A 15,878-nucleotide genomic window follows, 5' to 3' on the forward strand; every position below is an offset into this window, starting at 1 on the left:
GTCTGGAAATTGAGGAGCTATGATTCTGTTTTTATAATTGAAATTAGACTTAGAAGTTTTCTGCTTGTATAAATTAAGTACGAATGCCGTAGGCTCTCTATCAATTTAACTTCTAAGAACACCATGATTAATTAGCCAGTGCCAGAGCTCTACATGAGTCAAACTGTTCTGATTGCCACTTTACCTCTGCTGTCCATTACGGTAGCTATGCCTACCTTGCTTTTGACAGTTGAGTGCTGCCACTTGGCCCATGCCACCTTGGGATCCAATTATTCCCATTGTATTTAAATTTCATAGTTGGGTGACTGTGGTTCCCACTGTTAGATCTGACATACTGAGAAGAGCAATTACAGGGCTCTTCAAAGATGCAGGTTTTGCCCTCACAAATCTATTTTGCAAGGCATTGGTCAAGGGTATATATTCTAGACCTAAATCTCCCTAAGCCTTTGCATCCCTTCCTCTACATTAAATCAAGGGAGATCAGGCATTTCCAGCTCACTCACAATGGGCCATATCAATCTGATTATCTAATGTCAAGAGATCCGGGTCCCATAGTAAATCCTTGGCCACTAAGGACAGCTGGTAGAGATGACTCTTATCAAGGAAAGAGGAACATACCTGGCCAACCCCATTGTTTCTATAGCACATAGGGTATCAACTTTGACCAAATTCTGGGAGTAGTTTGCCTCACTTCTTCCTCTTCTTCTATACCTGATGGCAAACAACTTAACATTTAACTCTAACCCTAGGCTGTTAAATTTTCATGCTAGCCAAAATGCTTATCTGCCTTTAACAGCAGCTTGAATACTTCCCCCTACCCTTTCAAAGATTTATCTCAGGAACAGTGCAGGGGGACAAGGCCAAATCCTGTTTTGTTTCTAAGTACAGGAAGCCTGAACTGTACTATTATTTAGATACCACCACTTCTGAACTAACTGCAAGCAGGAGAGTCAACTATATCATTTCAATGTGTTTTTATAACACAGCGGCAGATTTTAGAGGTGAAACTTGGAAGAGATTGATCTTTTTCTACAAGGAGGTAGAGAATATGATGAGAAATTTCTCTATTTGCACTGCAAGATATCTTTAGTGAATCTCTTCTCTATTCCTCAGCTACAAACATTTTAACTTTTTCTCTACAGCAGGTTCATCACAGTAAAGATAGTAAGCCAAGTCCTCACCTTTTCTCTGGAAAATATAGGAAGAAACAAAATAGAGGTCAGATAAACCAGAAATTGCATTTAGGAAACATACAAATTGACCTTGTAATGAGCATGCTGTGTAGTTTTTTTCCCACTATGTTTTCTTTCTTAAAATCAAATCTAAATAATACAGCCATCATGTCTAGTTAATAGTTGTGCCATTGGCTGGGTGCAGTGGCTCACACTGGTAATCCTAGCACTTTGAGAGACCGAAGTGTGCAGATCGCCTGAGGTCAGGAGTTTGAGACCAGCCTGGCCAACATGTTGAAACCCCATCTCTACTAAAAACACAAAAATTAGCCAACAGTGGTGGTGTACACCTTTAATCCCAGCTACTTGGGAAGCCGAGAGAGGAGAATTGCTTGAATCCAGGAGGCAGAGGTTGCAGCAAGTCGAGATTGTGCCAGTGCAGTGCAGCCTGGGCAACAGAGGGAGACTCCATCTCAACAATAACAGCAATAACAACAAAAACATAATTGTGCCCTTAGGGGGACTAAAACATAAAGTTATTGAGGGGAAAATGTCACATCACAAGCTTCCCTTGTTTTACAAGGACTTGAGGTTAAGTAATTTCTTCCTTCCTTATGGTTGTAAAATATTGACTTCAGAAGTTGTCAAATTAGCCTGGCATGGTCCTTGTTACAAGTAAATAGGTTCCTTCTGTGGAGGCACTAGCAATCAACTTTCCCAAGGATGAGGTGCTGATATCCCAAGGCTTGCCTTTCTCCCTATTGAATTTATCTATTTGTGCACCTGTACACTTAGGCAGACAATGTAATACATCTATTTATCGCTACCACCAGCGTATCTGTCTAAAGCTATAACTGAAGGCATGTGTTCTCATAAAAGAAGAGAGGCACATTAGTCTAGTTTGATGCAGCAGTCACAGGCTTTATGTAGTGACTTATCTGGAGATAAGAGTCTTGACTGTTGTTAGACACCACCGAAAGTCATTACTTTGTGACTGCAAGGAGGATGACAACTCAACTGAGTGAAACTTCCAGCAGGTTGTGCATTAGAACTTAGAACAACAAAAGTGAGAGAAGTGGGGGTCCTGGATTTCTATTGATTACAAAATAAGCTGTTTATCATCATAATATAAGCTCCTTATGACCAGTGACTAGGAATTTATTTAATATTATGCACAGAAGTTTTTTAAAAACAGAACATTGTATGTGATAAATTTTTGCCAGCAAATAGATGGGTGCATGCATGGATGGATGAATGGATGCACGAATGAATGGATGGATGGATGGATGGATGGATGGATGGATGGATGGATGGATGAATGGATGGATGCACAAATGGATGAACGAATGCATGGATGGATGAATGGATGAATGAATGGATGGATGGATGGATGGATGGATGGATGGATGGATGGATGGGTTCATGGATGCATGAATGAATGGATAGATGCATGAATGAATAGATGGATGCATGGATGGATGGATGCACAAATGGATGAATGAATGCATGGATGGGTGGATGGGTGGATGAATGGATGGATGGATGGTTGGATGGATGGATGGATGGATGGATGGATGCATAGATGCACAAATGGATGAATGAATGAATGCATGAATGGATGGATGGATGGGTGGATGGATGGATGGATGCATGGATGCACAAATGGATGAATGAATGAATGCATGAATGGATGGATGAGTGGATGGATGGATGCATGGATGGATGAATGAATGGATGGATGAGCCAGACTACTTACTTTCAGAGTTTTCACGAATAATATAGGATGCTAGGTTACTAAAGTTATTACAAATGTGTGATTTTTAAGGAATCTACAATCAGAATGATGCCTACTTCTCTGGCTGCTTCTTGTAACCTCCACGCCTTGCCCACAGAGTTCTAGTCACACCATAGTTCTTTCTGTTCTTCATGCCTGTTTAGCACCAGGGCCGTTGCACAGGCTGTTCCTCAGGCCCAAAAGCTTTTCTTTATGATCTCCACATATCTCTTTCTTTCCTGATATTCAGGATTCACCTCACGTGTTCTATCACTAGGAGTGATTCTTTTAACCACTCAGTCTGAAGTAGTGACCAGATTGTTCTCCATCATGGTTCAATTTCAATTCTCTCCTCAACATTTATTGTGCCTTTATGTATTTATTTGATAGTTTTATTTTTTCTTTACATTTGTGGCTTTATTTATCTTTCATTCTCCAATAACGTTTGAGCTTCACGATTATTTCCCAGCTTATTTAGCACTATATCCTCTGCATACACATCCAGTTATAGACTGAATGAATGGAAGGGAGGAAAAAATCAAACATTCTCCCATAGGTTTAATTACTAAAAATTCCCTAAATTATATGCACCCATAAAACATTTAAAACAGTGTAAATTTATACAAATTAGATATATACTTTGAAGTGATCAAATTTCCTACTTTAAAAAGGTGGTTGTGTTGACCTGTTTATCTGTCAGCCTTGGAAATATATCAAAGGTTAAATAAATATAATCATGTTATATTCTTAAATCTTTTCGGAATGAAGTGAGGTATAAACACATGTGTGCTTTTATATATATAAACACACATGTATATATACATGCACATATTTCTATAATTCAGGGATTTGTTGGTTCAGACTAAGAACTCTTAGTTCCTAGTTCTTTGCTCTATGATGATTTAGAAACCTGGAATTTTTTAAACTGAAAGGGCTAATGTCTTTTCGTGCAGTGGTTTTCACTGGAGGCAGTAAGATCATCTACCGTTGCACTTGGCATTTTGTGACATGTGTTAGTTATTATAATAAATGGGAGCACTAAAAGGCATTTGGTGGCCAGGGGCTAGGTTTGCTATATATCTCAATGCATGGAAAAGCCTTATACCTGAAGAAAGCTTTCATATCTCCCACAACTTTCAAAAATCTGTTCACAATCACCCGAGCCTTATACATAATTCTGCTTTACTTTTAAACACAAAGTATTTTGCACTCAGACCTGCCAACTAAACTCTAGCCCCAGGTACTAAGCTTTCAAATAGGAACTGTGGCTTATTACATTTTACTCCCTTTTTCCTGAAAATTCATTAAAATTCAGTTACGAAGTCTGTCTTTAACAATATCAAATGGAGCCTTTAAACGATGACCACAATGTATAGTCCTTTCAAGGAGGAATGTCTTTGCCCATCACATATCTTTCTGAATTTCTAGAAGTCTGTTAAATAAAAAGGAACAAATCCAGACTTAGGTAAGGAGATATTTTGTTCGGAAAGACTTTTATAGTGAGAGGAAAAGGACTATTGCAATACAGAGAATACTCTGACCATAAGATCTGCAAACATCTCAAAGGACAGGCAGAAAGGGCTCCTCTTTTACAGGAAGGAGTAAACAAAGCTAGAAGGAGCTGTCTGTGGGAGTGTGAAGACCAGATGGTGTGGTAGAACAACTGATTGGGGAATGTTTCTCCTAGGTGTCAGTGGACTCTTGAGAGGGGCCTTAAAGGATGAGCTCTTCTATATTCTGATGCTTGGTTAAAGTCAAGGGAGAGTCAAACTCCAGGTGTCTGTGGAGTGGGAAAACCCTAACAAAATTTTGGTCCAGACAAGTCAGCAGATACTTTTCCCAGATTGATTAAATTGTATAAACTCAGTAAATCAAAGGATGATTTCATTTTCCTTCCACAAGATCACAGTAAGGTTTGTTTGCCGTTTGGGGAAGTCGCATTCCTAATGGTCGCAGTGCTTGTGGTATATGAGCAGTCAGTACAACCACTTGTATCATCTGCATTTGTGGTTACCAAATTCGTGATAATTCTGGAAGAACCAATGCAAACAGGTGACGACTGTGTTTTATCTTTTAGTGTACTAAAGCAGTTGGAGAATATTTCATTTTTAATTGACTTCCTTTTGTTTCTCCGTTATATTAATTTAAGGCCTTATATCAGTTTTCCACTTCCCTAGATTATGTGTAGAGCTAGACAACATGGCTGTAAATGTAATTTCAGGAAAATAAAGGTGGCATTATGAAATATTTGTTCTCAAAAAGGGCTGTAGGTCCTTTAAAACTGCAATTCCTATTCCACTGCCAGATTATTATTTATGTATAATGACTCTGAAACTAACAGAAGTTGAGAAATTTGCCCAAAGCCACAGAGAATATTAATACAATTACACACATACATACTCTTAAATTGTTAAAAAATGTTGACATGACAAGCATGGGGCTAGGAATGCAGATGAATAAAAATGCCTTTTTCTGTCCAGTAAAAAAATAACTTCTACACAGAAATGATAAAAACTCAATTAAGAAGTGACTGGTTTAGCAAGCAAAAAGTCCTAGAAAATGTTATTTCTGATAAGTACATTAATACAAACTTTTCATTGCTGGAAACTTTCTTGCTATATTTAAGACATGTGAAAAAGCAAAAAACAAAAACGTCTAGAAATCTATTTCTTAATCTGCAAAATGGGGATAAAAATATGTACCTCATAGCATTGTGTGACTCAAACAAGGTAAGTGATGTGATCCATGATTTCCAAACATTAATGTTCTTATAAATTACCTGGAAATTTTGTTAAAATGTAGAATCTGATTTTTAAGTTTCTGTGGGAATTAGAATTCTGCATTTTGAACAAAATCTTCAGTAGTTACCAATAATACTGGTTAGAGATAATTTTGAATGGGAAAGATGGAAACCCCTTGGCACATTGGAAGGGGCCAGTTTTGGTTGGAGGTCCTTGGCTTCCACTCTTGTACTAGCTCTTTTTGAAGAGGCATTGGCTGTTTCCCCACAGATCTCACTTGCTTCTTTTATTTTTAGATCACTCCCATTTCACTCATTTATAGGTTTTAAGAATGAGGGGAGTGATTAGATGAAGACTGTTTGAGGGACTGGTAATTAATACTCAAAAATAAATTTTTGAATATGCTTCTTTCTTCTTCCTATTAAAAGCATAATGTTCTGGTACTTTGTCCACGTTTAAAGCAGCCTTTCTGGATTAATATAGCTACTAATAGAAAGGGGAGAAAAGTTGCTATGGTTAGAATACATGTGTTCCTCTGAAATTCCTGTGTTGAAGCTTAACCTTCACAGTGATGGTATTAAGAGGTGGGGCCTTTGAGTGGTAATTAGGTCATGTTGTAATTAGGTCATGAGGGCTCTGCCTTATTGTAGAGAGAGGAGAAGGACTATTGCAATACAGTGAATACTCTGACCATAACATCTGCAAGCATCTCAAAGGGCAGGCAGAAAGGGCTCCTCTTTTATAGGAAGGAGTAAACAAAGCTAGAAGGAGCTGGCTGTGGGAGTCTCTCTCTCTCTCTCTCTCTCTCTCTCTCTATCTCCAGACAGACAGATAGATAGATAGATAGATAGATAGATAGATAGATAGATAGACAGACAGACAGACAGACAGACAGACAGACGGATAGATAGATATAGAGAGAGTCTCACATCTCACTCTGTCACCCAGCAGGCTGAGATGCAATGGTGCAATCGTTGTTCACTGTAACCTGAAATTCGTGAGCTCAAATGATCCTCCCACCTCAGCCTCCTAAGTAGCTATTTTTTATTTTTTTTTTTTAGGGTTGGGGTCTCCCTGTGTTACCCAGGCTGGTTTCAATCTCCTGGTCTCAAGTGATTCTCCAACCTTGCCCTTCAAAAATGCTGGGATTACAGTCATGAACCACCATCCTGAGTGTTTAAATACGCTTCTAAAAGAGGCTTCATAGAACTGCCTGTCCCTTCCATCTCCTCTGCCATGTTTTTACAAGATTCATCCTCTTTTGCCCATCTGCCTTCCACCATCTGATGAGATGCAACCAAGTGCCACCTTGGAAGCAGAAAGTGAGCCTTCATCAAATATGGAAAATATTGGCATCTTGATATTAGACTTCCCAGGGTCTAGAACTGGAGACATAATTTTCTTTGCTTATAAACTACCCTGTCTAAAGTATTTTGTTACAGCAGCAGGAATAGAATAAGATATAGGTATTATTATTATATTCTTCTGGAGTGACATTCTTATTACTCATATATAAATATTCATATCTACTTATCTAAAACAATCACATTTCTTATTTTACAAAATAGTTTTACAGTTCCTCAACTGGGATACAAAAAGCCCACTTTTTTAGTGAGAAAAAATGATAAAATGAAATACAAAACAGTTCTACTAGCCTCAATATTCTACAGATGCTTCTTCAATGGACCTAAGAATGGTAAACAGATTTTTTTAAAGACATCCAAATCTAAGACACCTTGTATTTTTCAGTTTTACCAATAGATGACACTAGTGATACACACGCACGCACGCACACACACACACACACACACACACACACGTATATAATAACATTCCAAGAAAATTCTTCAAGTCTGCAGTCTTGGGGATAAAAGCCCAAGGTAAAGAAACCGGTAACACCGAGTTGTTAACATACTAACATTGTTTTTATAGAGTTTTTTTATTATTTTCATAGAATTTGCAAAAGCATCTTCAAAGACAGTTTTTGTGGCAGATGACTGAGCATCTAAATTATTTTTATCAACACACAATTATAACACTAATCCTGAAATAAGAAAAAATCAGAGGGACTTCATGAAAGGAATATGTGAATATATATTTCATCTTGTAAAAATTGGTTGCTTATTCCTTCATCTATAAAACCATGTGGTCTGAATATATTGTTTCTCAGGCCCTGGATGGAGTACCAAGAATGCAGCCTAGTAAGGCAAGACACTGCCTAAAAAGATGGTCAAATTATCTAGAAAAATTAGTAATGTAATCACACTGTCCAAAGTCCCCATGACATGGGAGTTTCAAGGGTTGTCATGCCTTCCAGATGTGAGGGACCATAGTTTGTAACCTGCAAAACAATATTATTGTGAGTGGTGCTTTTCTTTAAATGACGTCTCTAAAAGCGATTCACATTCTTGATACCACTTTGGAATTGGAGATATTTCATTTAGAGCCCTTGAAATCTGAGTACTAGTGTGCATATTTTATTCCTGCCTTTTCTCTTGTTACTATATGCACCTAAACCGAGTATTTTTATCATAGGTTTTTTGGTTGTTTGCTTGTTGTTTTTTTTTTTTTTTTTTTTTTTTTTGGTAGAGATTGGGATTTCTCCATGTTGCCTAAGCTGGTCTAGAACTCCTGGACTCAAGCAATCCACCCATCTTGGCTTCACACAGTGCTGGGATTACAGGTGTGAACCACCATGCCCAGCCAATTTTTATCATAATTTTAAATTGGCAACTAACCAGATGCTTTATGTTACCCCCCCATCATCCCCTACAAATGACTCCATGTCAGACACAGACATTAATCGGTTTATGGAGTTAAATTTACAAAAAGGAAATAGGAAAAAGCGACAGGTGCATGGCATTACGTGCTGTGATGTGTATTAAAAGAGAGATCTCACAGATTGAAAGGAGATGTAAATACCAGCAGGACATATTTTTCAAAGGACACATTCAGAAGAATCCCATATAAGGTTGCCTGTCAAAGGAAGCCATTCCATTTTAACTGAATATTTAAGAATTTTATAGTGACATAGGTTTCATTTGGTTCATATGTGATATATTTTATTAGTAAAATATATAGTGCATGATTATCACTACCCAGATATGAAGCAAAAGTTGCATAAATCATTGTAATTTTTGATGAAACAAAAGAATATTTCGTAATGCTAATCGTTATTTTATTTTTTCAAAAATTTGTAAAAGTGAGAGGCTAATGGGAAGCCTAACCATTGGCAATGAAATAAATTCCATTTTGATTTTCTTTTTTAATAAATATTGCTGCACATTCCTTTCCAGGATCAAGTTAAACTCCTTGCTAATTCTTTCATTGAACAAAATAATCGTAAAGAAAACTCATAACATATTCCGATTTCAGCATCCGTGGGTATTAGTAGTCACATGATCTACCTTTAGAGACAGAAAGTTGAAATCTGATTTTTTTAAAAAAAGTAAGTGCAGTGGCTTAAGTGATTCTATGCTTTTAGACAGTATTGTCTTCAATAATTAATTTGTATAGATAAATGTAGCGTAGCATCTTTACATATTATTAAAATATTGTTTTGAGATTGTCATGGCAATATACATGCACAAAATATGTAGACTGGAACAACAACACAAGGTACTCAGTAACATCATTAAATGAAAAATAAGGTTTTTGGTTATGTACATCCTGGTTCTACTCTTTTTAAAAAAACTTAAATTAATTCATTAAGAAATATTTATTACAGAGAAAATGATATATATTCAAATATGTATTTATATGTATTCACATATATAATACATAAGATATATATAAGCTATGAAACACATTAATTAAAATAACCATCACTACCCTACTTAACAAAAACCATATATTGCAGTCTTAGATAAAGTTGAAAAAAATTATTGGTAAAAGTTTCTAAGTAAATCTACTAACATAAATAATTAGGCCTTTTAATTTTTAATTATCAAAAACTATATTTTTCTTTATTTTATTTAAGGGTAAAGATTCTCACAGCACACATGCACAACCATGATATATATCATCTAAGAACTTATTTCTGTATATGGTTGGGCAGTAAGCAATTCTATAGATGTATACACCTATATAACCTATATTAAAATATGGAACATTTCCAACTTCATAAAAAGTTCCCTAGGGTTCCATTTCAGTCAATATACACCAAGATCCAAACAAAACTGATCAATATTCCACCAATGTAGCTTACTTATGCCTGTTGAGAACTCAATATAAATAGGATTATACAATATAGACTCTTGTGATATTGTGATATAATAAGTAAGTTATATTTGGTCTCTGCTCTTGCTTCCTGACACACTGCTTCGAAAACCCTTAGAGAGTGTCTTTTGTATGCCAATGAGCTGACTGTTGGCCAGGGTTCCTGAGATAGCTTCAGGATGGGGGCTGTTCACCAGAAAGACGGAGGCATGATTAGAGAGTTGAGACTTTCAGGCCTACCCCGCAACCTCCGTGAAGGAGAGAGAGGCTGAAGATCGGTTGAGTTCATCACCTATGGCCAGGGATGTAATCAATTATGTCTACATGATAAAGTCTTCATAAATGTCCAAAAAGACAAGAGTGTGGAGAGCTTTCAGGTTGCTGAACATGCAGAGGCTCCTGGGGGGTGGTGCACCAGGAGAGGGTATGGAATCTTCAGCTCCTTTCCTATACCTCACCCTATGTATCTCTTCCATCTGGCTGTTCATTTGTATCTTTTCTAATACACTTTGTAAAAAATGGATAAATGTAAGTGTTTCCCTGAGTTCTGTGAGCCATCCTAGCAAATTCACAGACACCAAGGAAGGAGAAAATTCACTGGACCTGCGATCTGTAGACAGTCAGAAGAATGGGTGACAGACCATTACAATAGTCCCTTGATGTCTTCCAAGATGCCTTGTGCATACCAAAATCCACAGATGATAAAGCCCACAATTGGCCCTGCAAAATTCCCAGAAACAAAACGTCAGCCCCTTGCATCCCTCTAATTCTGTATTTTTTGATCCTCAGTTATTTATCCAAGAATATGGAACACTCAGATTCTGAGGGCAGATTGTACATGTGATTGGTGTCTGAAGAGAGGGAATCTTGTGGGACTAAGCCCTTAACCCATGGGATCTGACTCTGACTTCATAAAGTTACTTCAGTTCTGACATGATAGTGGTAGAATTGAAATGAATTATTGGACACTTAGTGTCCACTAGAGAGTTAGTTGTTAGTGGGGAGAAATCCATACACATTTTGGTGAGCAGAAGTGAACTATTCTGTGTTGAGCTGTGAGTTGTGTGTATTAGAGTCAAAAACAGTTTGATGTTTCCCATCTTTTCCAATGGTTCCTTTTCTAGCTCAGACTCTCCTCTGTGTCCAACTTCACTCACATTATATAAAGTCTGTGAGGTTTTTTCCTTCTGTATGTATAGCAACTGTTTGTTCCTTTTCATAGTTGAGTAGTATGAATATGTAATTTCTGGTGTGGAGCTATTATGAATAAAGCTACTGTTGAACCTCTGTGTATAAGTCTTTAAATGGACATGTGTTTTCATTTGTCTTGGGTAAATTCTTAGGTGTGAAATTTCTGAATCCTATAAGTGATGCGTGTTTAAGAAACTGCCAAACTGTTTATCAAAGACCTTCCACCATTTTATGAACCCCTCAGCAATGTGTGAGAGCTGCAGTTAGTCTGCTCCAGGCAGTCATCAACTATTACCAGTTGACTCCACTCCCACATTCTACTGAGTGTGAAATCATATCTTATTGTAGTTTTAATTTGAATTTTCTTGATGATTGCTGATATTGAGTGTCTTTCCATGTGTTTGTTTTCATGTTTATATTAGTTACAAAAGGCCATTAAATAATTCAGATACAAATAAATATTTTGTCAGAAATGTTACAAATATTTCTTTTTAGTATGGGGGATGACTTTAGAATTTCTTGGTGTCCTTTGAGATTAGAAGACTTTCATTCTCTTGGAGGCCAGTTTTTTTTTTTTTTTTTTAATGTTTCAAGCTTTTGTGTGTACTATCTTTGAAAACTCATAACAATATTTTCTTATATTTCTGTCTCTGGAATTTTTATAATTTTACCTTTTATGCTTATATCTATAATTCATTTCAAATTACTTTTCACGCATGATGTTAGTAGGGGTTGTAGTGAATTGAATTGTGGCCTCAAAAAGTCCTATCCCCAGTACCTGTGAATGTGACATTATTTGGAATAGGGTCTTTGTAGATATAATTAAGGATCCTGTGATTAGATGATCTTAGATTTAGGGTGGGCTCTAAATCCAATGACTGGGGTCACTATAAGAAAATAGAGATGGTGATTTGAGACACGGACACAGGCGAAGGTCATGTGAAGGCTGAGACAGAAATTGGAATTATGCCTTTTCAAGCCAAGGAATGTCAGGGTTCACAAGCAGATACCAGTAGCTGGGAAAGAAGTATGGCATGGATTCTCCTTCAGAGCCTCCAAAAGAACGAAATCTACCAACACCTTGATTTCAGATTTTAGGCCCCTGGAACTGTGAGAACATAACTTTTTGCCATTTTAGACCACCAGTTTGTGGTAATCTGTTGCAGCTAGCACGCGGGGCGGGGGTGGGGGTGGGGTGTCAAGGTTTTTTTATTTTCACAGATGGCATAATACAGTTGTTCTAGAACACATATCGAAAAGATTGCCATTTCATTGTTAATTATTTTGATGCCTTTGTCAAAAATCAAAGTGCAGGTCATTCCTAGACTTGCTGATTCTGTTCCATTGATCTATTTTTTGCACCAATGCTATGCTGTACTTTACATTTTCCTGTATGTCAATTCTCTACTGTCTTGATAACAGTAGCTGTATAACATCTTTTGAGATCAGATAAGATAGATCTTTCAAGTTTGTTCTTCCTTTTCAGATATGATTTTGCTATTCTCAGTGTTTTGTATTTCTATATGAATTTGGGAATTGAATTGTCAATTTCTACATTTTTTTGTAGAAATTGGACTAGGATTTTGATTTAAATTGGTTCATGTTTATAGGTCAATTGGTAGAAAATAGATATTTTAAAAACATTGAATCTTTTGAATCATGAATATAGTATAAATGCCCATGTTTTTGAGGTTCTATTTTTGTAAAATTTTCAACTGCGTTTTCCAGTTTTTCTGTACAGTTATTGCATAGCTTTTGCCAAACTGATTTATGATTATTTTATATTTTATATTATGGTAAGTGGTATTTTAAAAATTTATTTTTTTCAATTATGTTAGTGCTAGCATATAAAAATACAGTTAATATTTATATATTTACCATGCATCCTATGACTCGCCAAGTTTATTTCTTAGTTCCAGCAAGAAATTTTTGTACCTATGTCAAGATTTTATAATGTGGAATATCACATAATCTCAGACTAAAGAGTTTTAGCAGTTCTTTTTTTATCTCTATTAATTTATTTGCCTTTTTGGCTTATTGCACTGAATATGATCTGTAGTACCATATAGTATAAAATTAGTGAGAACAAATATTTTTTATCTAGTTTTCTCATATTAAGAAAAAAAGCACTCAGTCTTCAATCATCATGTCATGTCAGCTGTAATTCTTTGAAATATGTACTTTATCAGGCTGAAGATGTTTACTTTTCTTCATAGTTTGCTAGGAATTTTCATCATAAATTGGTGTTGACTTTCTAACTGCTTTTTCTGCATCTATTAAGATAATCATAAAATGTGTATCCTTTGTCCCTGAGATTTAATAGATTTTATTGGTTGATTTTTTAAAAACATATTGAACCAAATTTGTATTCCTTTAATAAGCACCCCTTCAGTCAAGACGCATTTTCCCTTTGTATTTTATTGAATTTAATTTCCTAATATCGCATTGAAAATGTTTGTGTTCATATGGGATACTGAATAGTAATCATATTTTTTTCTTTTATTGATATGTCATACTAGTACATATTTTGATGGTATGTGTGGTAGTACATGTAGGCAATGTGTAATAATCAGCTTTTAATATCAGGGAACTTCCAGCCTCACAGCATTTGTTGGAAAGAGTTTCCTCTTCTGTTTTCTAAAATAGTTTGTGTAAGATTGGTATAAATTCTTTATTTAATGTTTAATGGATTCTTCAATGAAAGAACGAGTCTGGTGTTTTTCTCATAAGAAGCCATTCCTTTTCTTTTTTGTACTTACTAAGTTACTAAACTTTTTTATTTTATCTAACGTTTCCAATTTTTGGGATATATTTCCTCATGATTTTATTTTATGTTCATATTGATATTTGTAGGTTTTATAGAAATATGCTCATTTTATTTCTGATATTGTCAATTTGTGTTTTCTCTCTTTTTATTACTCCTGTTTGGAATAATAAGTTATCAATATTATAGATCAATACTATTGGTCTTATATCAATATTGATATAAAATTGATTATTGATCTTTTCAACAAACTAACATTTGCCTTATTAATTTTTTCTATAGTTTATTTTTTTGTTTTGCTATTGTTATTTTTGTTTATTTCTGTTTGTTTACTTTTGCTAAAAGTACTTTTCAGCTTCTGTAGGTAAATACTTAAATCATTAATTTTAAATATCTTTTTCTAGTATTGATACTTTAAAAATCTATATTTTATATTTAAACTGTACCACTTTTGGATAATGTATAATTGGATCTGCTTTACTTCTATCTAGCCTATCAATTTCTGTCTATTAATTGGGACTGTTTAGTTTATTTACACTGAATATAATGATTGATCTCATTGGTTTAAGTGGACGAGCTTACTACTTGTTTTCCATTTGACCCTTTGGTGTCTTCTTCTCTTTTGCATCTTTTTTGCTTTCCCTTGGGTTATTCTTTATTTTAGCATTCTATTTCACTTCCTTATTGACTTCGCAGCTATATCTCTTTATGTTTTTAATTGGCTCTCTATGGTAAACGATATGCAGCCTTAACTTGTCGGAATCTGTTACCCCTTCACTCTTCACATGATCTGAGAAGCCTAAGGAGGTTTGGCCCAGCACAGGGATAGCCCAGTCCTAAACCAGAGTCTCCTACCGTGAACTTAAGAATCCCTGTCCATTTTGCTCAGCTCTCTTCTCTCCTGGGTTCTGTCCTGCAGATTCAAGCCACTTCAGCTGCCTAAACTCTCGTGCCTGCCCCATCAGGTCAGTGGAACACTCCAGCTATGCTTGGATTCCAGTTCTCTCAGATGTGATCATAAAATTATGCTCAGGTAGCAGTGGGTTTTCAGAGTGCTCACCTTGTCAGGTTCCCTTCTCAGTCATCACAGTTTGTGCTGCATGTTGACCACTGCCTGAATTCAACTGCTTCATGTATTTTGTCAAGTTACAAACTTTTATGTGGTCAATGGGCTAGTCTGGTACCAGTTATTAAGTTATGACCAGAAGTAGAAGTCTTATTAGAATGTACTGTTTTGAAAAGGAAAAATACCGACATGTACAGCAAGAGCAAACTTGGGGTTGGAGAAAGATTACCGTATAATTATAAAGATCAACAATTGAAAGGAATTTGTGTGGGGAGGCACCACAAAAAGTAACATGATTTATAAGCAGACATGTTTTTGTGTCTCATTTTTCATACGTATCTGTAATGTAAGATGGAGTTAAAAATCACAGTCTTTTGAGTTACACAAAAACGGATTTGAATCACTTTTGCCTCATATAAGTTAGATGAATATTTCTCTCTCAAATATCAATTTACCCATCTATGAAGTTGAAATATTTATATTACCTATCACAAACCTTGTTTTGATGGTCATTGAAAGTAATTAAAGTAAGTTATGTAATGAATCTGAATGTAATGAAGTTATGGAATGAATAAAATTATGTAATGAATCTCAATAAATGTAAGTTATTATCTTTATCATCTGCAGTAGAATTATTATTATTACTGCCTTATCATTAAGGCATTCTTAAATACTTTGTTACAATTAGATGGTTAATAATATAAAAGTTAGTTTTTTACAAACTTAAAGTAAATTCTTACTGAAGAACTAGGTTTATATGTGGGGGTGTGTGTGTGTGTTAACTCAAAATATGCAATACCCACACACTAAATATACACAGTCCTTTGAGTCAATACATAAATTTAGGTACAGCATAGGTCCAACTCTACTCTATGTTCTTTAACTTGACATTTAACTTGACATATGCTGAGTATAGCTTTGACCCACAAACGTAACATTATTTAGATGTATT

At 35.6% G+C, this 15,878-nt stretch overlaps 1 long non-coding RNA gene across 1 annotated transcript in view; it reads left to right on the plus strand.

Annotated features, from left to right (window-relative positions):
- The window catches only part of LOC107986059 (uncharacterized), a 125,190-nt gene extending 109,814 nt beyond the window's left edge, over positions 1-15,376 (plus strand). The window contains exon 5 of the long non-coding RNA XR_007095784.1: positions 14,780-15,376. This is a non-coding gene — a long non-coding RNA (uncharacterized LOC107986059). The remainder of the gene's footprint in view (positions 1-14,779) is intronic.

Source organism: Homo sapiens, chromosome 3, assembly GCF_000001405.40.
Source record: "Homo sapiens chromosome 3, GRCh38.p14 Primary Assembly".
Lineage (NCBI taxonomy): Eukaryota > Metazoa > Chordata > Mammalia > Primates > Hominidae > Homo > Homo sapiens.